This window comes from Homo sapiens, chromosome 1 (assembly GCF_000001405.40).
Source record: "Homo sapiens chromosome 1, GRCh38.p14 Primary Assembly".
In the NCBI taxonomy this organism is placed as follows: Eukaryota; Metazoa; Chordata; class Mammalia; order Primates; family Hominidae; genus Homo; species Homo sapiens.
The window spans coordinates 76,893,023-76,918,427 of record NC_000001.11 but is presented as its reverse complement, the minus strand read 5'-3'; the positions used below and the strand labels follow the sequence as shown (position 1 = coordinate 76,918,427).

At 39.1% G+C, this 25,405-nt stretch overlaps 1 protein-coding gene across 3 annotated transcripts in view, besides 1 other annotated feature; it reads right to left on the bottom strand.

Moving 5' to 3' along the window:
- The window catches only part of ST6GALNAC5 (ST6 N-acetylgalactosaminide alpha-2,6-sialyltransferase 5), a 200,067-nt gene that overhangs the window by 149,119 nt on the left and 25,543 nt on the right, over positions 1 to 25,405 (bottom strand). The window lies entirely within an intron of this gene.
- Positions 17,912 to 18,451: an enhancer, noted in NCBI's record as "NANOG hESC enhancer chr1:77365662-77366201 (GRCh37/hg19 assembly coordinates)". NCBI's record gives its function as "activates a minimal SCP1, AML or CMV promoter by ChIP-STARR-seq in naive H9 embryonic stem cells {active_cell/tissue: H9 hESC(naive)}" and the evidence as "EXISTENCE:reporter gene assay evidence [ECO:0000049][PMID:30033119]".

The window sequence follows — 25,405 nt, the reverse complement described above, 5'->3', positions numbered from 1 at the left end:
CAGGATGGTCTCAATCTTTTGACCTTGTGATCCGCCTGCCTTGGCCTCCCAAAGTGTTGGGATTACAGGTGTGAGTCACTGCGCCTGGCCTGGAGCCTCATTCTTTTGACTTTCTCTTCCATTACTGATGTTGTGGTAAAAATGACCCAAACATTAGAAGCATTTTATTAGAGATCTCTTCTTTTCCTGACTCTCAGACTGGAATAGAAGCCAGAAAAAAGATTTCAGGCACATTATCAGCTTCATTCTCTTCTCCAACTCTATTTTCTAGACAGATGGTAATTTCTACCCAGCTGAATAACTTTTTTTAAAACAATTCTTCATATGTTACCTAGTGGGACAGTTAACTTATGTGTCAAATTGACTTGGCCATGGAGTGCCCAGACATTTGGTCAAACATTATTCTGGGTGTTTCTGGATGAGACAACCATCTGAACTGGTAGAATGAGTAAAGCTTACTCTGCTCCCTAATGTGAGTGGGCCCCATCCAATCAGTTGAAGACCTGAATAGCACCAAAAGTCCCAGTAAGAGGGAGCACCTACTACTGACTGTTGAGCTGGGACATGGGTCTTTTCCTGCCTTTGGACTCAAACTGAAAAACTTCAAGACTCTTCTTGGGTCTTCAGCCTACTAGCCTTTGTATCAGAACTTATACCACTGGCTTGCCTGGGTCTCCAGCCTGGAGACTATAGCTCTTAGGACTTCTTAGCCTCATAATCACATAAGCCAATTATTTATAATAAATACACACATACAAATATAAATATATATTTTTATATATTTATTTATTTATAATGCCTATTGTTTTTGATTCCTGGAGAACCCTAATACACTACTATACCTAGGCAATAAATTTTCTATTAAAGAAAAACAAGACATCAAAATTTTAAATTATTTATAACCTCATTCCTCAGAGGCAACTGGAATATTGTGTGTAAGTTGGGAGTTCAATTTTCCAAAAACATGAATCACAGTGTACAGATTTATTAGTTATCGTAGATCAATAATAGATTATGAATGGAGAACATTTTGACACTGTTGACAATATTTAGCCTAATTTTTCGTTGCTTGAGTTTAGCAATGTTTAATATTGCCAGCAAGTCACTTTTTGTCTATCACGAATCTTACTCTATGTTTTTTTGGTTCTTTTAGACTTATCTTGTGTCAATTGCTTATAACTGTAGTGCTCATTCTAGGTTAAAGTCAAAATAAAATATTTGTTTTAATGTACATGCAAAGAGCAATAATAAAGTAGGTGCATAAAAACTTGGTTCAAAGCAGGGTGAAATAATGAGGTCAAAATTTCCTTTACCAAATCAAAATTTGTATAGTTGAAGGAGGTGGAGCTCACAGCTTTGCCCACCTGACTTTTCATTCACCCTGAGGGAGTTATTCTAGGAGGAATGAATTCTGGAGAAGTATAGCAATTCTATTTAGAATTTCTATTTTTCTTTTCATTTGTCCTGTTAATCATTTACCAATGTACTTTGTTGATATTTATACTCAATTTTTAGTGGCATTAACACTGATTGTCAACAAATAATAATTTACAGGGAAATTATACTAACATTATTTTGGTTTAATCAAACATAAGAAAAAACTCATTGTTTGGAACGTGAAGCCATAGCCATGGTAACATCAAAGTATATCCTAATTGCAAGAAAAATACCTAAAAAGAAACAAAAATCTCATATTCTATATTGGTAAACACAATCGTTTTTTTTTAAAAGGCTTATGACACACCGTCTAGATTTTAAACGGAGCATTAAAAGAGAAATATGGAACAGTTTATTCAAGCCTTGTGGTTTCTCCTTATTAAGCACTAAAGATTGCTTCAAGTTCCCATCCTTTAATAATTCATTAGTTTTCTACTGGAAACTAAAATCTTGATGTTTAAAGAAACATTCCTACATCAAAAAATAAAGTAAAATTTAGAACAGAATGGCAACTGGAGGAGAAAATTTTTTGATCATAAAAGTTTTCAGTTCCAGTCCCTAAGACCAATGTATAGCACTTGAATAGGGCATACAGAATTTTTTTCCTTCCTTTAAAGAGAATTAAAGAGAAAACAAGAAGATTGAGAATTTCTTTGTAAATGCATGGTTGTTTTCAAAATGTGGAACAAGGGATGAGTCCTTTGGAGACAAAGGCGAAGCAGCTGCATGTAGCTGGATGAGGCTGGCTTAGTCCAGTCTGTCCCAGTTGTGTCATCCGTACCAGCTTCCTACCTGCAAACTCATGTCTCAGAAACACTTAAGAGAACCGAGGTACAGGAGTGCTTTCAATCAAAATTTGGATACCCTTCTTGGTTTAAAGGTAAAAGATACTTTTTTCCTAAAAACTATGAACTACAAAAGCAAGGAAAAGTGAGCAATCTATTCTACAGGAGTATTTCAATGAGTTTTTTTTTTTTAAAATGCAGATGGCCAGATCACTGTTACCTTTATTTTGGTAGAAAACATGTTTTCTGTTAACATTCCAAATTCTCAAATAGAAAAAAATTATTATTATTATTATCCAAGGAAGTTTTTTGTTTTTTTGTTTTTTTTTTGTTATTTTTCATTCTTTTTTTAATTTATTATTATTGTACTTTAAGTTTTTGGGTACATGTGCACAATGTGCAGGTTACTTACCTATGTATACATGTGCCATGCTGGTGTGCAGCACCCATTAACTCGTCATTTAGCATTAGGTATATCTCCTAATGCTATCCCTCCCCCCTCCCCTCACCCCACAACAGTCCCCCGAGTGCGATGTTCCCCTTCCTGTGTCCATGTGTTCTCATTGTTCAATTCCCATCTATGAGTGAGAACATGCGGTGTTTGGTTTTTTGTCCTTGTGATAGTTTACTGAGAATGATGATTTCCAGTTTCATCCATGTCCCTACAAAGGACAGGAACTCATCATTTTTTATGGCTGCGTAGTATTCCATGGTGTATATATGCCAGATTTTCTTAATCCAGTCTATCATCATTGGACATTTGGGTTGGTTCGAAGTCTTTGCTATTGTGAATAGTGCCGCAATAAACATACGTGTGCATGTGTCTTTATGGCAGCATGATTTATAGTCCTTTGGGTATATACCCAGTAATGGGATGGCTGGGTCAAATGGTATTTCTAGTTCTAGATCCCTGAGGAATCGCCACACTGACTTCCACGATGGTTGAACTAGTTTACAGTCCCACCAACAGTGTAAAAGTGTTCCTATTTCTCCACATCCTCTCCAGCACCTGTTGTTTCCTGACTTTTTAATGATTGCCATTCTAACTGGTGTGAGATGGTATCTCATTGTGGTTTTGATTTGCATTTCTCTGATGGCCAGTGATGATGAGCATTTTTTTCATGTGTCTTTTGGCTGCATAAATGTCTTCTTTTGAGAAGTGTCTGTTCATATCCTTTGCCCACTTTTTGATGGGGTTGTTTGTTTTTTTCTTGTAAATTTGTTTGAGTTCATTGTAGATTCTGGATATTAGCCCTTTGTCAGATGAGTAGGTTGCAAAAATTTTCTCCCATTTTGTAGGTTGCCTGTTCACTCTGATGGTAGTTTCTTTTGCTGTGCAGAAGTTCTTGAGTTTAATTAGATCCCATTTGTCAATTTTGGCTTTTGTTGCCATTGCTTTTGGTGTTTTAGTCATGAAGTCCTTGCCCATGCCTATGTCCTGAATGGTAATGCCTAGGTTTTCTTCTAGGGTTTTTATGGTTTTAGGTCTAACATTTAAGTCTTTAATCCATCTTGAATTAATTTTTGTATAAGGTGTAAGGAAGGGATCCAGTTTCAGCTGTCTACATATGGCTAGCCTGTTTTCCCAGCACCATTTATTAAATAGGGAATCCTTTCCGCATTGCTTGTTTTTCTCAGGTTTGTCAAAGATCAGATAGTTGTAGATATGCAGTGTTATTTCTGAGGGCTCTGTTGTGTTCCATTGATCTATATCTCTGTTTTGGTACCAGTACCATGCTGTTTTGGTTACTGTAGCCTTGTAGTAGAGTTTGAAGTCAGGTAGCGTGATGCCTCCAGCTTTGTTCTTTTGGCTTAGGATTGACTTGGCGATGCGGGCTCTTTTTTGGTTCCACATGAACTTTAAAGTAGTTTTTTCCAATTCTGTGAAGAAAGTCATTGGTAGCTTGATGGGGATGGCATTGAATCTGTAAATTACCTTGGGCAGTATGGCCATTTTTCACGATATTGATTCTTCCTACCCATGAGCATGGAATGTTCTTCCATTTGTTTGTATCCTCTTTGATTTCATTGAGCAGTGGTTTGTAGTTCTCCTTGAAGAGGTCCTTCATGTCCCTTGTAAGTTGGATTCCTAAGTATTTTATTCTCTTTGAAGCAATTGTGAATGGGAGTTCACTCATGATTTGGCTCTCTGTCTGTTATTGGTGTATAAGAATGCTTGTGATTTTTGTACATTGATTTTGTTTCCTGAGACTTTGCTGAAGTTGCTTATCAGTTTAAGGAGATTTTGGGCTGAGACAATGGGGTTTTCTAAATATACAATCATGTCGTCTGCAAACAGGGACAATTTGACTTCCTCTTTTCCTAATTGAATACCCTTTGTTTCCTTCTCTTGCCTAATTGCCCTGGCCAGAACTTCCAACACTATGTTGAAAAGGAGTGGTGAGAGAGGGCATCCCTGTCTTGTGCCAGTTTTCAAAGGGAATGCTTCCAGTTTTTGCCCATTCAGTATGATATTGCCTGTGGGTTTGGAGCCGATGCCATCAACTGGAAGAAATGGTATCAGTGATGGAAGATGAAATGAATGAAATGAAGCGAGAAGGGAAGTTTAGAGAAAAAAGAATAAGAAGAAATGAACAAAGCCTCCAAGAAACATGAGACTATGTGAAAAGACCAAATCTGCATCTGATTGGTTTACCTGAAAGTGACGGGGAGAATGGAACCAAGTTGGAAAACACTCTGCAGGGTATTATCCAGGAGAACTTCCCGAATCTAGCAAGGCAGGCCAACATTCAGATTCAGGAAATACAGAGAACGCCACAAAGATACTCCTTGAGAAGAGCAACTCCAAGACACATAATAGTCAGATTCACCAAAGTTGAAATGAAGGAAAAAATGTTAAGGGCAGCCAGAGAGAAAGGTCGGGTTACCCACAAAGAGAAGCCCATCAGACTAACAGCAGATCTCTTGGCAGAAACTCTACAAGCCAGAAGAGAGTGGGGGCCAATATTCAACATTCTTAAAGAAAAGAATTTTCAACCCAGAATTTCATATCCAGCCAAACTAAGCTTCATAAGTGAAGGAGAAATAAAATCCTTTACAGACAAGCAAATGCTGAGAGATTTTGTCACCACCAGGCCTGCCCTAAAAGAGCTCCTGAAGGAGGCACTAAACATGGAAAGGAACAAACGGTACCAGCCGCTGCAAAATCATGCCAAAATGTAAAGACCATGGAGACTAGGAAGAAACTGCATCAACTAATGAGCAAAATAACCAGCTAACATCATAATGACAGGATCAAATTCACACATAACAATATTAACTTTAAATGTAAATGGACTAAATGCTCCAATTAAAAGACACAGACTGGCAAATTGGATAAAGAGTCAAGAGCCATCAGTGTGCTGTATTCAGGAAACCCATCTCATGTGCAGACACACATAGGCTCAAAATAAAAGGATGGAAGATCTACCAGCAAATGGAAAACAAAAAAAGGCAGGGGTTGCAATCCTAGTCTCTGATAAAACAGACTTTAAACCAACAAAGATCAAAAGAGACAAAGAAGGCCATTACATAATGGTAAAGGGATCAATTCAACAAGAAGAGCTAACTATCCTAAATATATATGCACCCAATACAGGAACACCCAGATTCATAAAGCAAGTCCTGAGTGACCTACAAAGAGACTTAGACTCCCACACAATAATAATGGGAGACTTTAACACCCCACTGTAACATTAGACAGATCAACGAGACAGAAAGTTAACAAGGATACCCAGGAATTGAACTCAGCTCTGCACCAAGCAGACCTAATAGACATCTACAGAACTCTCCACCCCAAATCAACAGAATATACATTTTTTTCAGCACCACACCATACCTATTCCAAAATTGACCACATAGTTGGAAGTAAAGCTCCCCTCAGCAAATGTAAAAGAACAGAAATTATAACAAACTGTCTCTCAGACCACAGTGCAATCAAACTAGAACTCAGGATTAAGAAACTCACTCAAAACCACTCAAGTACATGGAAACTGAACAACCTGCTCCTGAATGACTACTGGGTACATAACGAAATGAAGGCAGAAATAAAGATGTTCTCTGAAACCAACGAGAACAAAGACACAACATACCAGAATCTCTGGGACACATTCAAAACAGTGTGTAGAGGGAAATTTATAGCACTAACTGCCCACAAGAGAAAGCAGGAAAGATCCAAAATTGACACCTGAACATCACAATTATAAGAACTAGAAAAGCAAGGGCGAACACATTCAAAAGCTAGCAGAAGGCAAGAAATGACTAAAATCAGAGCAGAACTGAAGGAAATAGAGACGTAAAAAGCCCTTCAAAAAATTAATGAATCCAGGAGCTGGTTTTTTGAAAGGAGCAACAGAATTGATAGACCGCTAGCAAGACTAATAAAGAAAAAAAGAGAGAAGAATCAAATAGACGCAATCAAACCACCGATCCCACAGCAATACAAACTACCATCAGAGAATACTACAAACACCTCTATGCAAATAAACTAGAAAATCTAGAAGAAATGGATAAATTCCTCAACACATACCCTCTCCCAAGACTAAACCAGGAAGAAGTTGAATCTCTGAATAGACCAATAACAGGATCTGAAATTGTGGCAATAATCAATAGCTTACCAACCAAAAAGAGTCCAGGACCAGATGGATTCACAGCCGAATTCTACCAGAGGTACAAGGAGGAACTGGTACCATTTCTTCTGAAACTATTCCAATCAATAGAAAAAGAGAGAATCCTTCCTAACTCATTTTATGAGGCCAGCATCATCCTGATAGCAAAGCCGGGCAGAGACACAACCAAAAAAGAGAATTTTAGACCAATATCCTTGATGAACATTGATGCAAAAATCCTCAATAAAATACTGGCAAACCAAATCCAGCAGCACATCAAAAAGCTTATCCACCATGATCAAGTGGGCTTCATCCCTGGGATGCAAGCCTGGGTCAATATACGCAAATCAATAAATGTAATCCAGCATATAAACAGAACCAAAGACAAAAACCACATGATTATCTCAATAGATGCAGAAAAGGCCTTTGACAAAATTCAACAACACTTCATGCTAAAAACTCTCAATAAATTAGGTATTGATGGGAAGTTTTATAAATGTGTTAAAATCTTAGCAGTATCAGCCTGAAGTTTTTCCTGAGTGTATGTTCTGTCTTCTAACAGCAAGTGCAGTTTTTAAGAGCTGAATGTAGATCAATGGACTTTTCTCTCAGTGCACATGAAATTCTAGAGGCGAAAGGGTTAGCTTGATGAATGCCTCATTTTTATCATCTACAATTGCAGTGGGTGCTGAACTTGAATTATGCTCTTTTTTTTTTTGCCTTGACCACTTATTTAAATATACCATTTACCTAATGTATAGTCAGAGGAGCAGAATTTTATAGTCACTGGGATTTTGAAAGGCATATAAATTTCCACTGTCTGTGTCTTTGTCTACATCAACATAAATACCTCCAACTGTATGGATGCAGACGTTAATATTGATAATATGCATCTTATTCACAGTATTAATAAATGCTTATTCAAACTCACATTGATAACAACCTACAGAAAAGGTATCATTAGAAGCATACGATCCTCAGTATTTTATAGTTTAAAGTTAATATTGAAACTTTATAAGTGTTTGAGCAGTCATCAAACTGATATTTTAAAACCAAGATTTCCAAATCTCTGAGTTAGAACAGTCAAAAACATGAAACCTCTTATCTATGTCTAAATAAAAATGTTTGGTTGATTTCTCTGGGCAATCAGTTTTAGACAGCTAAAACGCTTTCCCCTGAAATTACAATATTTACTTCGCTTTTATTTTTTTCAAAGATTAAAAAAATCACACATCTTTAACCACTGCAGTTGTGACACTGCATATCACCACCCGCGTTTTCTAATTCCATGATTGCATATATTTACGCAAATTATATAATAAGATGCAATTACAATAATTACAGAGGAATAGGCAACAATTGAAAAAAATACAAATTCTCACTAAATGATATGAAAATTGTCAGACAAACCCATACAAGAATAGAAACTACTTTAAGATGAACTCTATCAGACAACAGCAAACAATCCAGCCAAACACCTTAGTCTCAGCAAATTGAAACATGTTACACTGGGAGACCTGAGGCTTAAGGCTTAAGGGTAAAGTTATTTTTCCTTAAAATTTGTTTCCCAGTCCTAGAATGTGAATGTTAACATCTTGACTTTCCTAAGCATATTATGACTACAGAACCTTTTTCCTTGGTGTTTTCTTATTGTTATTTCAAAGAAAAGGGAAGGATAATCACAAAATTAATGAAAAACAAGCACACTATAGACAACTCTATGGAGTTGTAATTAGGAAAGAGTAGGTCCTGCTATGATTTTCTTGTCCTTTTCTCCAACTGTATATATCATTTTCAATGATTTACAGTCCAAGAATATTATTTGTCCAATTTATTTTGCTTTTAGTAAATATTCATAAGACAAATTATGCAACTCATCCATTTGAGCACTCTATAAATTTTCCTGTAGTGTATTTTATTTGCATTGAATTTCTCACTTTGTTTTATATTTCAGACAAATATTCTTAATATAAAAGTTGGGAAGTTTGCCTCTTTGCTTTCTTTTTGCAACAATTTTACTAGATCTAAGACCGTGTCTTGCCAGCCTGTGACAGTGAAAAATTAACATTTTGACACACCATATGTCTTCACAAAGAAACTTAGATTTATCCCCATCCTAGCTTATTCATAATTCCTATATTTCAGTCACTATGCTGAGTTCCTTATTTACATTATATTTTATGTAATACTTCATAACAACCCTGCAAGATGATCCTTTAAACAGCAGAATCCCCATTTTTACAGATGTAGAAACTGAGGCTTTGGGAGTGTAAGTACAGAGATGGGTGTTGGCAGTTATACAGTTTTTGAGCCAAGATGTGGATTCTGGCCTATCTTAAGCATTTATATAAACATTTACTGACTTCCAACACTGCACTAGATACAAGGTTGTGAGGATACAAAGTTGAATAACACATGGTCACTGCCTTTGAGGCACCTAATGTCTTACAGGTAAGAGAGATACAAACACCAATAATTTCAACATAAAATGAAAAGTGCCGAGAGAAGGGCCTGAAGAGTTTTTACTGTGAAACAGCTTTCTTAAGGCAATATTAGATGCTTCATGTGTTTTACCATATGGCAGCATAGCTATAATAACCACTGGGTAGTTATGATTTAAAGTAAGGATAAATCAAATTCCTTAGGAAATAAAACTAATATATAACTTCAGAAAATAAAACTTCAATTTCTTAGAGCATCAAAGAATTGCATAGAATTGTAAATTCACTGATTAGATGATTAATGGAAAAATCTATTTATTCATTCATTAACAAATGATCATTAAGTACTTGCTCTGGGCCAGGTAATGCGGCAGGCTTTGAAGATGCAAGGATGAACAAGAAAGACAGGAACCCTGCGGTTACAGAGCTTACATACCTCAGAGAAACCCAACAGAGTGTGTTAGGTGCTATGTGAAGGGAGTGGAAGGTGCTAGGGAAGCACACAGGCAAAGGTCTAACCTAGGTGTCCTGAAGGAAGTGAGGTCTAAGTGGATGTTATAAAGTAGCCAAGAACAAAAGAGGGGTAAGAGCCTTGTGATCTGGAGGCAACCTGTGTGTAAAAGTCTTGAAAGAAACTGCTGTGATCTGAATGTTTTGTCCCCCTCAGATCCACATATTGAAACCTAATCACCCATGTGATAAGGTTATGAGGTGAGGCCTTTGGGAGGTGATTGGGTTGTAATGGCAGAGTCCTCGTGAATGGGATTAGTACCCTTATGAATGAAAGAGGCTCCAGAGAGCTGCTTTGCCCCTTCCACTATGTGAGGACATAGTGAGAAGCCCCCATCCATGAACCAGGAAACAGGTCTTCACCTGACATCAAATCTGCCACTGCCTTGATCTTGGACTTCCCAGCCTCCAGAACTGTGAGACATACATTTCTATTGTTTATAAGCCACTCAGTTCATGGTATATTTTGTTATAGCAGCCTGAAAATACTAAGACAGAGAGCACAACAAAAATAAGAACCTGAGAGAAATTTAGTCTGCTTGGAGCCATAGGTGGGATAAGGAAAATGGTAAAAGGTAAGTAACAAATAGTATCATAAAAAAATCTATTGTATTAAAAAGATTTTGGGCTAATTGTGTGCATAGGAAATAAACCCTTCCAGAGATTCTGCAGGTGGTCCTGCATGCTTGAAACATCTCAAGTGTTCGCATAAATATAATGCACCAAATTAATATTTTTAGCATTCCTGGTTAACAGTATATGAAACCATGAACCAAATATAGAGGAGGGGACTGGGATGATCTTGAGACTAAAACCAAAGTGAGCTAAGGATGTAGCTACAATACACTTGCTGAAGCAGAGGTCAAGACAAAGTGCAAGCATCTGTCCTCACAGCGCCACTTATAAGACCCCTCCATGCTTAATAGGAGGAAAACTCATGTCAATGAAACACATGGCATCCAGGGATAGGGGAACGTGGACCCTTGGATAGAGTTGGAGGAATTTAAACTCACGGCAAAGAGTGAGATGATGTGGGGCTACACTTGCATGGTAAAGTACTGGGGCTTCCCAGAGTGTAGTGATGCAAGAAACTGTGGAGCAGGGCTTTCTCTCACTAGTACAGTTACAGCCAGTGAAAACTGACTAAATGTCTGTTCTACTTGTTATTGTTACTTCACAAAAAGAGGCCTTGTCTTGGACTTGGTGGTTTTTATGAGTTGGGTTGCACTATTAGCAAATCTGACAGCCTGCTGCCTCAAGTGCTTTTTCTGTCCCTTGCTGCCACCAAGCAGGGTTGGGTGTTCTCAGAGATAATAGGAACAGGAGGCTTCACATCAGCGAGAGTAGTAAGCAGGGTCAAGATCAGAGTATATAGAATCTTACACACCATGTTGAGGAGTTCATCCTAAGAACAGAAACCCAAAGAATGGTTTTGGTATAGAAATGAAAAAAAAGGAGAGTTGAGTCTTGGATCCCTCTCGTGGTGATGGCTTGAAGGAGGCAAAAGAGTGAAGGGCTACAAGAAGGCTTGTTAGCAGAATGTTGAAAGAGTCAAGTGGTAGAATGATAGTGGTCCCCTGTAGATGGGCAATAGTGGGTTGCTGAAAGTGAGTGGATTTAGGAAATTTACCAGAAGTGGCCTATTAGGGTATGTGGCATCAGTGATGGCAGAATCCAAGGTTGATACCTAGATGCCTGATTTTGGAAACTGGCTTAACGATGATTAATAGAAAAAAGAATGAGGAAACAGTAGTAAAGGGCCAAGGTGGGTGAGCAGGAGAAGGCTGAGATGATGAGTTTTATTTTGAATATGTTGAAATAAAGTACCTACGGGGCATTCAAGGGAATGTGTCTAGTAAGTAGTTGGATATGCAGGAGGGAGACCCGGAGTTGAGATATAGACAAATATCTTGCATTAATTTATACACACGTCTAAGCAAAAGAGACAAGTCCAATTTCCAAACATATACACCTTCCTATTTAAGAGAACTTTCTGTTTATACCCTATGTTATCAATCAGAAGTATCTTTATAAATTCTTGTCATGCCTGTACTCAACAATCAAAAAATTATAGAAGGAGTACTATTTAATAATGATAGTCCTCTAAAATTAAACACTTTAAGAGGCATTAATTCTCTTTTCCATCTTATACAGAGTTTCAAGAATAATTATCTGATCAGGAAGTTCAAAAGTTCAGATACTATTTTAACTGCCTTTCTCAATTCAAATTCTTACTTCACCTTTAGCAATAGTTAGGAAAGACACTGCCACTTCATTTCCCCCATGGAGGAAATGATCCTTGAAAAATGCTGCCAAAAAACACCAGTGTGAGAAACCTTAATGAAGTGGCTTTATTCTAGCTCTTGGAAAGCCCACTTTGGTTAGGGGTGTGCAACTTTTCTTGTCATATTCTCCATCTCGAAAGGGCCTTTAACTCAGCTATATCAGTGCCCAGCAGAAAGAAGTGTTGGCAGGCTTTTTTAAAAAACATTACTTGAAACTTTTGTTGCCAGATAACAGCTTAAATACCATTTGCTACTCCTCAGTTAAGAAAAAGAAAAAGGGAGGGTTCATTATGGCTTTTCTTCCTCCGAAATGATGCTTTTTAAGACAAGAGCATCTTGTTTGCTTTCAAGCAGTTGGGTCATGCTAATGTTCTGCATGTTTCTGGAGCAGGGAATTCAGCAACAGCACGATAGAAGGCACCTTTCTCCATCTTAACACCAGCTAAAAAAGCGCTCCCTCTAAGGAAAGCCTGCAGCAAATTAAAGAGATGAATTTATTGCTCCCTTCCCTCAAATATTCCTGTATATGTCAAATAAATCTAAACCTACCCCAGTGCATTTATTGGAAATATTTTCTTGATAGTTTATACATGGAACCCTATTTGCAAAAGACTGACTCAAGAAACTAAGATTTTATTCTATTAAAATAACTTTGCAATACAGAAGTTTTGTCTTTACAAGTGGAAAATATATTTTTAGTCATTATCAACACATAGAATTTTTAGTATTTCACAGAACTCAAAGAAAATCTCCTTCACCCAATCACCATTTGAAGAACAGTGTCCTGATAGTTAAAAATTATTTTCCTTAATAATTAGTGAGCAAGAATAAGGCTGGTTTCCAATTTGGACATAAGCACACAGTGGAGAAATACGCTGTTCCCTTCCCATTTGCACCTGTCTATACCTTCTGTCTCTATGTAAATTTAAGGGGAGGGTGTCTCACAGCCTGACCCATGCAGCAGGGAATGACCACAATCATTGTTAACCTGACGTTAAGAAGAACAGCTGGACAGTTTGCTTCCAAGACAATAAGAATGAAATGGCTAGGCTGGAAGGGATCTACTCTTTCCATGCCCAGGAAATAATAGCCCCGTAACTGTGACTCTTGTAAGTAGTTATCCCGCCACCTCATCCTTTCTCAGAGTCTCTACCCCTTTGAATAAGCATTAGAAATAAACACGATGTGCTCTCTATCTTTAGGGAAAGTAAACAACAACAAGGGTATTTAGTTTCTTTTTAATTTCGCTTTTGTCACAATCTAACTTACATAGAGAATGGTGAGTAAATAACAAGTGCACAACTGAAAGAATTTTCATAAAGTGAACACCTCATATAAACAGCACCCTGATCAAGAAACAGAACACTGTCAACACCCCAAAGTCATTCCTCTCCTGTACTCATCCATTCACAGCCCCCCACAAGGATATATACTAATCTGTCTTCCTACAGCATAGATTCATTTAGCCTATTTTTGAACTTTATGTAAATGGAATCATATTGTTTGTCTGTCTGTTAATGACTCTTTTCTTTTTTTTTTTGAGACAGTCTCACTCTGTTGCCCAGGCTGGCATGCAGTGGCACAATCTCAGCTTACTGCAACCTCTGCCTCCCAGGTTCAAGTGATTCCCCTGCCTCAGCCTCCCAAGTAGCTGGGATTACAGGCATATGCCATCCTGCCTGGCTAATTTTTGTATTTTTGGTACAGATGGGGTTTCGCCATGTTGGCCAGGCTGGTCTCGAACTCCTGACCTCAAGTGATCCACTCGCTTCAGCCTCCCAAGGTGCTGAATTACAAGCCTGAGGCACTACATCTGTCTGAATAACTCTTTTCATTCAATATTAGGTTTATGGGATTCATTCATATTGTATGCTTTTGTAGTTTGGTCATTCTTGTTGCCATATGGTATTCCATTTTGAATATACCACAATTTATTTGTTCAAATATTGATGGATATTTGGGGCTAATAAACTGTGTTGCTATGAACGTTCCTGTACATGTCTTTTAATAAAGGTATGGATACCTGTCACAGCACCCTTAAGCATGAATTTGAGTCCCTTTCCCTTTCTCTTCTCAACTGAGCTCTAATATAACCTTCCTTTGCAAAGACCAGATCCCTTACCGACCTCGCAGACATGTGTAGTAGACTTTCACCCTTCTTACCATCTGGCATCTATTCATCCTTTTCCCATGAAAATGACCTATTTACAGCCCAAGTATTCAGGTGGAATTTCTTCCCCAGAAGCATGCGGCCTGGGCCTATGCTGGTTAGAGCATCACATTCCTGTTTTATTTTCACAATTTAGATAAAATTCACAGCTATGTGAATTCACCCACTAAATTCACGGAATTGGATGGTTTTAATTTACTCAGAGATATGTGAAACCACCCCCACAGTCAATTTCAGAACATTTCTGCCCTTTAGCTATCACTCTCCTACCCACCCATCACCCCCAGCCCTGAGCAATCACTAATCTACTTTCTGTTTGTATGGATTTGCTTATTCTGGACATCTCATATAAATGGGATTATATAGTATGTGGTCCTTTGTGGCTGTCTTATTTAACTTAGCTTAATAGTTTCATGGTTTCAAGTTTCCTTCTTATTGTAGCATCTATCACTAACTGCTGTATTTTCATTGCTTCTTATGGCCAAATAACATTTAATTGTATGGATACGCCATATTTTATGCCACATTTTGTTTATCTATTCAACAGTTAACAGACATTTAGGTTTCTACCTTATGATTGTTATGAATAATGCTGTTATGAATAATGCCTTTGTGTACAAGTTTTTTGTAGCTAGATATTTTCATTTATATTGGCATATACCTAGGAGTAGAACTGCTGGGACACATGTAACTCTATGTGTCACAATTTGAGGAACTGCCAGTCCATTTTCCAAAGTGACAGCATCATTTTACATTTTCACCAGCAATGTATGAGAGATCTAATTTCTTTCCACATTTGACAAAAGTTGTTGTTATATTTTTTTCAATACAGCCATCCTACGGGGTGTGAAGAGTTATTTCCTTGTGATTTTGATTTGCATTTCTTTGATGGCTAATGATGTTGAGAATCTTTCCGTGTGCTTTGTCTATTTGTATGCCTTCTATGGAGATACGTCTATTGAGATTCTTTGCCCATTTTAAAATTGGGTTAATTTGTTTTATTATTGAGTTGTATGGGTCTTTACATATTCTGGATACAAGTTCCAAAGGGGATATATAATTTGAAAATATTTTCTCTTATTCCATGGGTTGTTTTTTTACTTCTTGATAGCATCCTTTGAAGCACAGAAAATTTTAATTTTGGTGAAAACCAATTTTTTGTTGTTGTTGTTGCTCATGTTTTGGGAATTACACCTAAGAATTCGTTGGCAAATCTGAGGTCCTGCAGATTTATCCCTGAGTTTTCTTCTAGGAGTTTAATAGATTTATATGTACATACATCTTAGATTTACATCTTTGATCTGCTTTGAGTTAATTTTTCTATATTGTGTGAGGTAAGGGCCCAATTTCATTGTTTTACATGTGGATATACAATCATCCTAGCACCATTTGTTTAAAAAATATTCTTTATTGAATAACCATGGTGCCCTTGTTAAATTCGGGTGACCAAAGACATATAGATTTATTTGTAGACTCTCAATTCTATCCCACTAATCTATATGTTTATCCCTATGTTAGTAACATATGTTTGATTATCGTCACTTTATTGTAAGTTTTGAAATTGGGAAGTTATGAAATTTGAAAGGCCTTCAACTTATTCTTCTTTTTAAAGATTGTTTTGGCTATTCTGAGTCCCCTGCAATTCCATATGAATTTTGGGATCAGCTCATCAATTTGTACAAAGAAGTCAACTGGCCTAGAGAATCCCAGTTGCAACAGAGATTGTACTGAATCTTTAGATCTATTTGAGGAGCACTATTATCTTAACAAGATTAAAATCTTCTTGTCCATGAACATGGGCTGTTTTTCTACTTATGTAGATCTTCTGTAATTTATTTCAGTAATGTTTTATAGTTCTCAGAGTATTAGTTTTACACTTCTTTTGTTATAGTTATTCTTAAATATTTTATTCTTTTAGATGCTATTGTAAACAGAATTGTTTCCTTCATTTTCAGATCATTTATTTCAAGTATATAAAAATATAATTAATTTTTGTGTATTGATCTTGTGCCCTGCAGCCTTGATGAACTCATTTATTGTTTTAACAATTTTTGGTGTATTCTTTAAAACTTTCTTTGTAAGTTCATGGCCCCTTTCTGCTTTTTTTTCTTTTAAAGAAACAATCACAATAAAGAGGGAATCAGATGATCTCAATGTATCATTTTATAACACTTTTCTGGATATGAGAAAGTAACATTTTCTCATCCAGAGGAAAAATATGTAAAAGGAATTAAGAGGAAAGTGATAACTTCCACTTTCTCAGTTGACTGTGCAACTGGGCTGGCCAAAAAAATATCATGTATAATATTTGTTATTACAAATGCATTGTTCCATTTTATATGGCTATCTGATGAACACACTCAAGAAAAACTTAAAATCAACTATAAAATAAAGTGAAAAAGCAAAATCCAAATCAATAAAGATATTTTGGGAACTCTCAAAAAGAATAAACAGAATTTTATTTGCTACACTAAGCAAAGAATCAAGAAAATGTTAACCAGTTCAGAGGACCAAATGGAACTTCTCTGCTTGTAGAAAATTCACTCATAGCTAGCACAAAACATTTCTCACGCAAAAGGCCTTATATTCCCAAAGTACCCTGTTCTCTTCTTTGCTATTTATCAGCAGTTTTTGAATGTACCATAATTTATCCTCATGTTTCTCAGATACAGTGTTTGATGACTTGTAATAAAAGCACTAAAATGATACTATGGTAGACTCTGAGAACATATATCACCACAGCCTGACTTGAATGCTTCCACATAAAAACCTAGGTGCTAACCCATACTAAACAGTGCCCACTGCTTCCTGGGCTGGAGACAATCTCAGTGCTGCCCTCTCATGGCAGGAGGAGTAACCATGCTCCCTTTGCAATTGGGAAAAGCCCTAAAAGGCTGACCAGCATGTTGTGATGTACAGTAAGACTTTTCAATGTACGGAAAATACATTGGTGACTAAGGAAGCACAATGTATCCTATGAATCCATAATTATTTACATCCTTGGACTATTTTTTGGCCCTGTGTTGATGTGTATAAATTTACCAATTATGTGTTTTCATCAGAGGAGGATGTTGGAATTAATGTACCACAAACACTTATTGCAACTATTCCATCTTCTCAATCTTTAAGTTCTAAAGCAAAACATCTTCTCATTCAACACTACTGAGGAACTATATAAAATATTTACTTAGAACTACACTGACATCTAGTGAGGCTAACAATGTGCTCACTGTAAATAATATCTTATTTGCTAAAACACTGATGTTCTGAGAACGTATTAATCCATAAGACTGTTCACAATTCCTTATCTGAATAATTATGTTTTCTGATAATTCTCAACAAATCAATGTGATTAAAACTATGAAAAAGCATTCACTAGTAATAAATGTATCTAAATATGATTTTTTAATTACTGAGGAAATAAGAAACATGCAAGAAACATAAGAAAGGTTATTCTTCTTTGCAACATGTAAAAATGAAAAATTTTAAAAGATAATGATTTTTATGTTTGTTCACTTTTCAAATGAGATTGATCGCTTCCTTGCTTTCATTTTGTTCAATGTGAGGATGCTCAACTGCTTTGACTAGGTATCAAAGGAATTTATTAAAATCCTAGAGAGAAACCAAAATAATTGGCTCTCTTTTTGGCAGACTTGATAAACATTTTATTTTGCAAAAGTATATTTTAATTCTGGGATAACATTAAATGTTTCTTTGAGAAAGGTATATCCCAGTGTATTGTAACCTATAAAATCTTTAATAATTGTAGTTAAGAATATAAAGTTCTGGTTATTATGAATGATAATGTCAGGCCTCTGAGCCCAATCTAAGCCATCATATCCCCTGTGACCTGCACGTACACATCCAGATGGCCGATTCCTGCCTTAACTGATGACATTCCACCACAAAAGAAGTGAAAATGGCCTGTTCCTGCCTTAACTGATGACATTGTCTTGTGAAATTCCTTCTCCTGGCTCATCCTGGCTCAAAATCTCCCCTACTGAGCACCTTGTGACCTCCACTCTGCCCACCAGAGAACAACCCCCCTTTGACTGTAATTTTCCTTTATCTACCCAAATCCTATAAAACAGCCCCACCCTTATCTCCCTTCGCTGACTCTCTTTTCAGACTCAGCCCACCTGCACCCAGGTGAAATAAACAGCTGTATTGCTCACACAAAGCCTGTTTGGTGGTCTCTTCACACAGACACGAGTGAAATTTGGTGCCGTGACTTGGATCGGGGGACCTCCCTTGGGAGATCAATCCCCTGTCCTCCTGCATTTTGCTCCATGAGAAAGATCCACCTACAACCTCTGGTCCTCCGACCAACCAGCCCAAGGAACATCTCACCAATTTTAAATCCAATAAGCAGCCTTTTTTACTCTCTTCTCCAACCTCTCTCACTATCCCTCAACGTCTTTCTTCTTTCAATCTTGGCGCCACACTTCAATCTCTCCCTTCTCTTAATTTCAATTCCTTTCATTTTCTGGTAGAGACAAAGGAGACACTTTTATCTGTGGACCCAAAACTCCGGCACCAGTCACGGACTAGGGAAGGCAGCCGTCCCTTGGTGTTTAATCATTGCAAGGATGCCTCTCTGATTATTCACCCAGGTTTCAGTGGTGTCAGACCACGCAGGGACGCCTGCCTTGGTCCTTCACCCTTAGCGGCAAGTCCCGCTTTTCTGGGGGAGGGGCAGGAACCCCAACCTCTTGTCTCTGTGCCCCCATCCGTTATTTCTGTGCCCCGACCTCTTATCTCTGTGCCCCGATCCCTTATTTCCATGCCCTGACCTCTTATCTCTGTGCCCCAACCCCTTATTTCCACACCCCGACCCCTTCTCTGCTTTTCTGGAGGGCAAGAAACCCCCACCCCTTCTCTGTGTCTCTACTGTCTTTTCTCTGGGCTTGCCTCCTTCACTATGGGCAAGCTTTCACCTTCCATTCCTCCTTCTTCTCCCTTAGCCTGTGTTCTTAAGAACTTAAAACCTCTTCAACTCTCACCTGACCTAAAATTTAACCATCTTATTTTCTTCTGCAATGCCGCTTGACCCCAATACAAACTCGACAGTAGTTCCAAATAGCCAGAAAATGGCACTTTCAATTTTTCCACCCTACAAGTTCTAAATAATTTTTGTCATAAAATAGGCAAACGGTCTGAGGTGCCTGATGTCCAGGCATTCTTTTACACATCAGTCCCTCCCTAGTCTCTGTTCCCAATGCAACTCATCCCAAATCTTCCTTGTTTCCCTCCCACCTGTCCCCTCAGTCCCAACCCCAAGTGTCACTGAGTCTTTCTAATCTACCTTTTCTACAGACCCATCTGACCTCTCCCTTCCTCGCCAGGCCGAGCTAGGTCCGAATTCTTCCTCAGGCTCCGCTCCTCCAACCTATAATCTTTTTATCAACTCCCCTCCTCACACCCAGTCCGGTTTACAGTTTCATTCCGTGACTAGCCCTCCCCAACCTGCCCAGCAATTTCCTCTTAAAAAGGTGGCTGAAGCTAAAGGCATAGTCAAGGTTAATGCTCCTTTTTCTTTATCTGACCTCTCCCAAATCAGTAGCGTTTAGGCTGTTTCATCAAATATGAAAAACCCAGCCCAGTTCATGGCTCGTTCGGCAGCAACCCTGAGACTCTTTACAGCCCTAGACCCTAAAAGGTCAAAAGGCCATCTTATTCTCAATATACGTTTTATTACCCAATCTGCTCCTGACATTAAATAAAACTCCAAAAATTAAATTCTGGCCCTCAAACCCCACAACAGGACTTAATTAACCTCAACTTCAAGGTGTACAATAATAGAGTAGAGGCAGCCAAGTAGCAATGTATTTCTGAGTTGCAATTCCTTGCCTCCACTGTGAGACAAACCCCAGCCACATCTCCAGCACACAAGAACTCCAAAGGCCTGAACCGCAGCTGCCAGGGGTTCCTCCAGAACCTCCTCCCCCAGGAGCTTGCTACAAGTGCTGGAAATCTGGCCACTGGGCCGAGGAACACCCACAGCCCAGGATTCCTCCTAAGCCGTATCCCATCTGTGTGAGACCCCACTGAAAATCAGACTGTTCAACTCACCTGGCAGCCACTCCCAGAGCCCCTGGAACTCTGGCCCAAGGCTCTCTGACTGACTCCTTCCCAGATCTTCTTAGCTTAGCGGCTGAAGACTGACTCTGTCCGATTGCCTCGGAAGCCCCGTAGACCATCATGGACGCCGAGCTTTGAGTAACTCTCACAGTGGAAAGTAAGTCCGTCCTCTTCTTAATCAATATGGAGGCTACCCACTCCACATTACCTTCTTTTCAAAGGCCTGTTTCCCTTGCCTCTATAACTGTTGTGGGTATTGACGGCCAGGCTTCTAAACCTCTTAAAACTTCCCAACTCTGGTGCCAACTTAGACAATACTCTTTTAAGCACTCCTTTTTAGTTATCCCCACCTGCCCAGTTCCCTTATTAGGCAGAGACACTTTAACTAAATTATCTGCTTCCCTGACTATTCCTGGATTACAGCTACATCTTACTGCCGCCCTTCTTCCCAATCCAAAGCCTCCTTTGAGTCCTCCTCTTGTATCCCCCCACCTTAACCCACAAGTATAAGATACCTCTACTCCCTCCTTGGCGACTGATCACACACTCCTTACCATCTCATTAAAACCTAACCACCTTTACCCCGATTAATGCCAATATCCCATCCCACAGCATGCTTTGAAAGGGTTAAAGCCTGTTATCACTCACCTGCTACAGCATGGCCTTTTAAAGCCTATAAACTCTCCTTACAATTCCCCCATTTTATCTGTCTAAAACCAGACAAGCCTTACAAGTTAGTTCAGGATCTATGACTTATCAACCAAATTGTTTTGCCTATCCACCCCATGGTGCTAAACCCATATACTCTCCTATCCTCAATACCTCCCTCCACAATCCATTATTCTGTTCCAGATCTCAAACCTGCTTTCTTTACTATTCCTTTGCACCCTTCATCCCAGCCTTTCTTTGCTTTCACCTGGACTGACCCTGACACCCATCAAGCTCAGCAAATTACCTAGGCTGTACTGCCGCAAAGCTTCACAGGCAGCCCCCATTACTTCAGTCAAGCCCAAATTTCTTCCTCATCTGTTACCTATCTCGGCATAATTCTCATAAAAACACATGTGCTCTCCCTACTGATCGTGTCTGATTAATCCCTAAACCTCAATCCCTTACAAAACAACAACTCCTTTCCTTCCTAGGCATGGTTAGTGCGGTCAGAATTCTTATACAAGAGCCAGGACTGCACCCTGTAGCCTTTCTGTCCAAACAACTTGACCTTACTGTTTTAGCCTAGCCCTCATGTCTGCATGCAGTGGCTGCCACTGCTTTAATACTTTTAGAGGCCCTAAAAATCACAAACTATGCTCAACACACTCTCTACATTTCTCATAACTTCCAAAATCTATTTTCTTCCTCATACCTGATGCATATACTTTCTGCTCCCGGCTCCTTCAGCTGTACTCACTCTTTAAGTCCGACAATTACCATTGTTCCTGGCCCGGACTTCAATCTGGCCTCCCACATTATTCCTGATACCACACCTGACCCCCATGACTGTATCTCTCTGATCCACCTCATTTCCCCATGTTTCCTTCTTTCCTGTTCCTCACCCTGATCACGCTTGATTTATTGATGGCAGTTCCACCAGGCCTAATCGCCACACACCACCAAAGGCAGGCTATGCTATAGTACAAGCCACTAGCCCGCCTCTTAGAACCTCTCATATTCTTTCCATCGTGGAAATCTATCCTCAAGGAAATAACTTCTCAGTGTTCCATCTGCTATTCTACTACTCCTCAGGGATTATTCAGGCCTCCTCCCTTCCCTACACATCAAGCTCGAGGATTTACCCCAACCCAGGACTGGCAAATTAGCTTTACTCAACATTCCCCATGTCAGATAACTAAAATACCGCTTAGTCTAGGTAGACAATTTCACTGGATAGGTAGAGGCCTTTCCTACAGGGTCTGAGAAGGCCACCATAGTCATTTCTTCCCTTCTGTCAGACACAATTCCTCAGTTTAGCCTTCCCATGTCTATACAGTCTGATAACAGATCAGCCTTTATTAGTCAAATCAGCCAAGCAGTTTTTCAGGCTCTTAGTATTCAGTGAAAGCTTTATATCCCTTACAGTCCTCTGCCTTCAGGAAAAGTAGAACGGACTAAAGGTCTTTTAAAAACACACCACACCAAGCTCAGCCACCAACTTAAAAAGGACTGGATGATACTTTTACCACTTTCCCTTCTCAGAAGTCAGACCTGTCCTCAGAATGCTACAGCGTACAGCCCATTTGAGCTCCTGTACAGACGGTCCTTTTTATTAGGCCCCAGTCTCATTCCAGACGCCAGACCAACTTAGACTGTGCCCCCAAAAAACTTGTCATCCCTACTATCTTCTGTCTAGTCATACTCCTATTCACCGTTCTCAACTACTCATACATGCCCTGCTCTTGTTTACACTGCCAGTTTACACTGTTTCTCCAAGCCATCACAGCTGATATCTCCTGGTGCTATCCCCAAACTGCCACTCTTAACTCTTGAAGTAAATAAATAATCTTTGCTGGCAGGACTATGCTGAATCTCCTTAGGCACTCTCTAATCTGATGTCCTGGGTCCTCCCAATTCTTAGACCTTTTATACCTGTTTTTCTCCTTCTGTTATTCCATTTAGTTTTTCAATTCATACAAAACCATATCCAGGCCATCACCAATAATTCTACACAACAAATATTTCTTCTAACAACCCCACAATATCACCCCTTACCACAAAATCTTCCTTCAGCTTAATCTCTCCCACTCTAGGTTCCCACGCCGCCCCTAATCCCACTTGAAGCAGCCCTGAGAAACATCGCCCATTCTCTCTCCATATCACCCCCCCAAAATTTTCACCACCCCAACACTTTACCACTATTTCATTTTATTTTTCTTATTAATATAAGAAGACAGGAATGTCAGGCCTCTGAGCCCAAGCTAAGCCATCATATCCCTTGTGACCTGCACGTACACATCCAGATGGCCGGTTCCTGCCTTAACTGATGACATTCCACCACAAAAGAAGTGAAAATGGCCTGTTCCTGCCTTAACTGATGACACTGTCTTGTGAAATTCCTTCTCCTGGCTCATCCTGGCTCAAAAGCTCCCCTACTGAGCACCTTGTGACCCCCACTCTGCCCGCCAGAGAATAACCCCCCTTTGACTATAATTTTCCTTTATCTACCCAAATCCTATAAAATGGCCCCATCCTTATCTCCCTTCACTGACTGTTTTCGGACTCAGCCCACCTGCACCCAGGTGAAATAAACAGCTTTATTGCTCACACAAACCTGTTTGGTGGTCTCTTCACATGGACGCGAGTGAAATTGTGGTGAAAACCCCAAACCTTACTCATGTAATTTCATATCTCAAACAGATTTCAATACTTACCCTCCTCCTATCCACTTTTACTACATACCCACCACCTGCAACGTATTTGGTAGGATTTTAAAGAGTTTAGATGAACTGTTGGAACATCACCATCTTCACTTATGAAGCTGTACTGCTGAAAGATGACATTGTGAAAAATAAAGGTTTTTTTCTTTGACTGTGACCTCAATTGCTGAGTTACAAGTGGCAATAGGGTGCCTATCAAGTCCTCAGGGAAGGCCCATTTGGCACAGCTGGATACAAGGGTTCCTTGCTTAAAGATCCCCCCCCTGCCTCTTCCTGCGCTCCAACCTCCCATGCTACCTGACATCATTACCTACACTTGGCTGACTTCTGTCATAACTCCCCACACAAAACTCTTCAGGCTCGCAAACATTGCTGCCACAGGGGTGGTGGCAGGTGTGCGGTGTACATGCCGTACACTGCAACAGGCCTATCTGGGTCAACACAAGGTCAGTTACCAAGAGATCTCAATTCATGCAGCTCCAAAGTAGATTCAAGGCAAATTTCAAAAATTTTATGATGATTCAGTTCCTGTTTAAGCTTCCAAAAAGGTCAAGGGAGAAACTTAAAAGATTTGACAGATTTTAGAAAGGCAATTGGTACAATAAAAATAGTTTCTTCTGCAGAGGCTTTCCATAATGGCATTGTCTTGAACCGATTTCAAAGGTAAAAAACAAAAATCTAGAAGCCTACCACCTGGGACTGATTTGAAAATGTTTACATTTGTGTGCCATGGCCACATCTCAGGGTTAAAGAAAACCTGAATATCAAGAGCGTCTCTTCTAGGCTGGGCGCGGTGGCTCATTCCTGTAATACCAGCACTTTGGGAGGCCAAGGTGGGTGGATCACGAGGTCAGGAGTTCAAGACCAGCCTGACCAATATGGTGAAACCCTGTCTCTACAAAAAATGCAAAAATTAGCCGGATTTGGTGGCACGCACCTGTAGTCCCAGCTACTCAGGAGGCTGAGGCAGGAGAATCGCTTGAACCCGGGAGGCAGAGGTTGCAGTGAGCCGAGATCGCGCCACTGCAATCTAGCCTGGGTGACGGAGTGAGCCTCTGTCTCAAAAATAAATAAATAAGTAAATAAAAGTAAATAAATGAATAGATAGTGTCTTCTATTGATGGCTAATATTTCCTGAGTCCTTCCTATGTGCTGGGAATTGTGCTAAATTGGTAAAACTTATTATCTTATTAAATCCTCCTAATAATTCCAATGACGTGGATAGTTACTCCTTACACATTATACAGCGGATTGAAGATCAAATATAATTAAGTAAATTGCCCAAAATCACTGCCAGCAAATGGCAAATCTAAGATTCAAATCCAGTTTGTCTCCAAAGACACTTAAGTTTTATACCCTAATTTTCCACTTCTGGTTCCTATGCCTTCTTAAACTGATTTCTTCTTGTCTTTTACACCACTTCTATATCTCAATATGCTGCTTCCATCTTTCTCTGGTATGACATATGAAATCCAAATTTGTCCTTCCTCCCTCCTGCACACCCTTCCTCTTTCTTTCCTTCCTTATTAACAAACTTTTACTGTGCACTTACTCTATGCTAAAATTTCTTCTGAGTGCTGGTCTCCTAAGCTTACACAGTTGTTGGGGGCAGGATCTACATTTTTTCATTGTGCTACTCCTTATGCCTGCCAAGACGGGGTTAAATTAAAGAGTGCATATATGGATGATATTCAGAGCAAAATCCTGTTGTCTAGGAA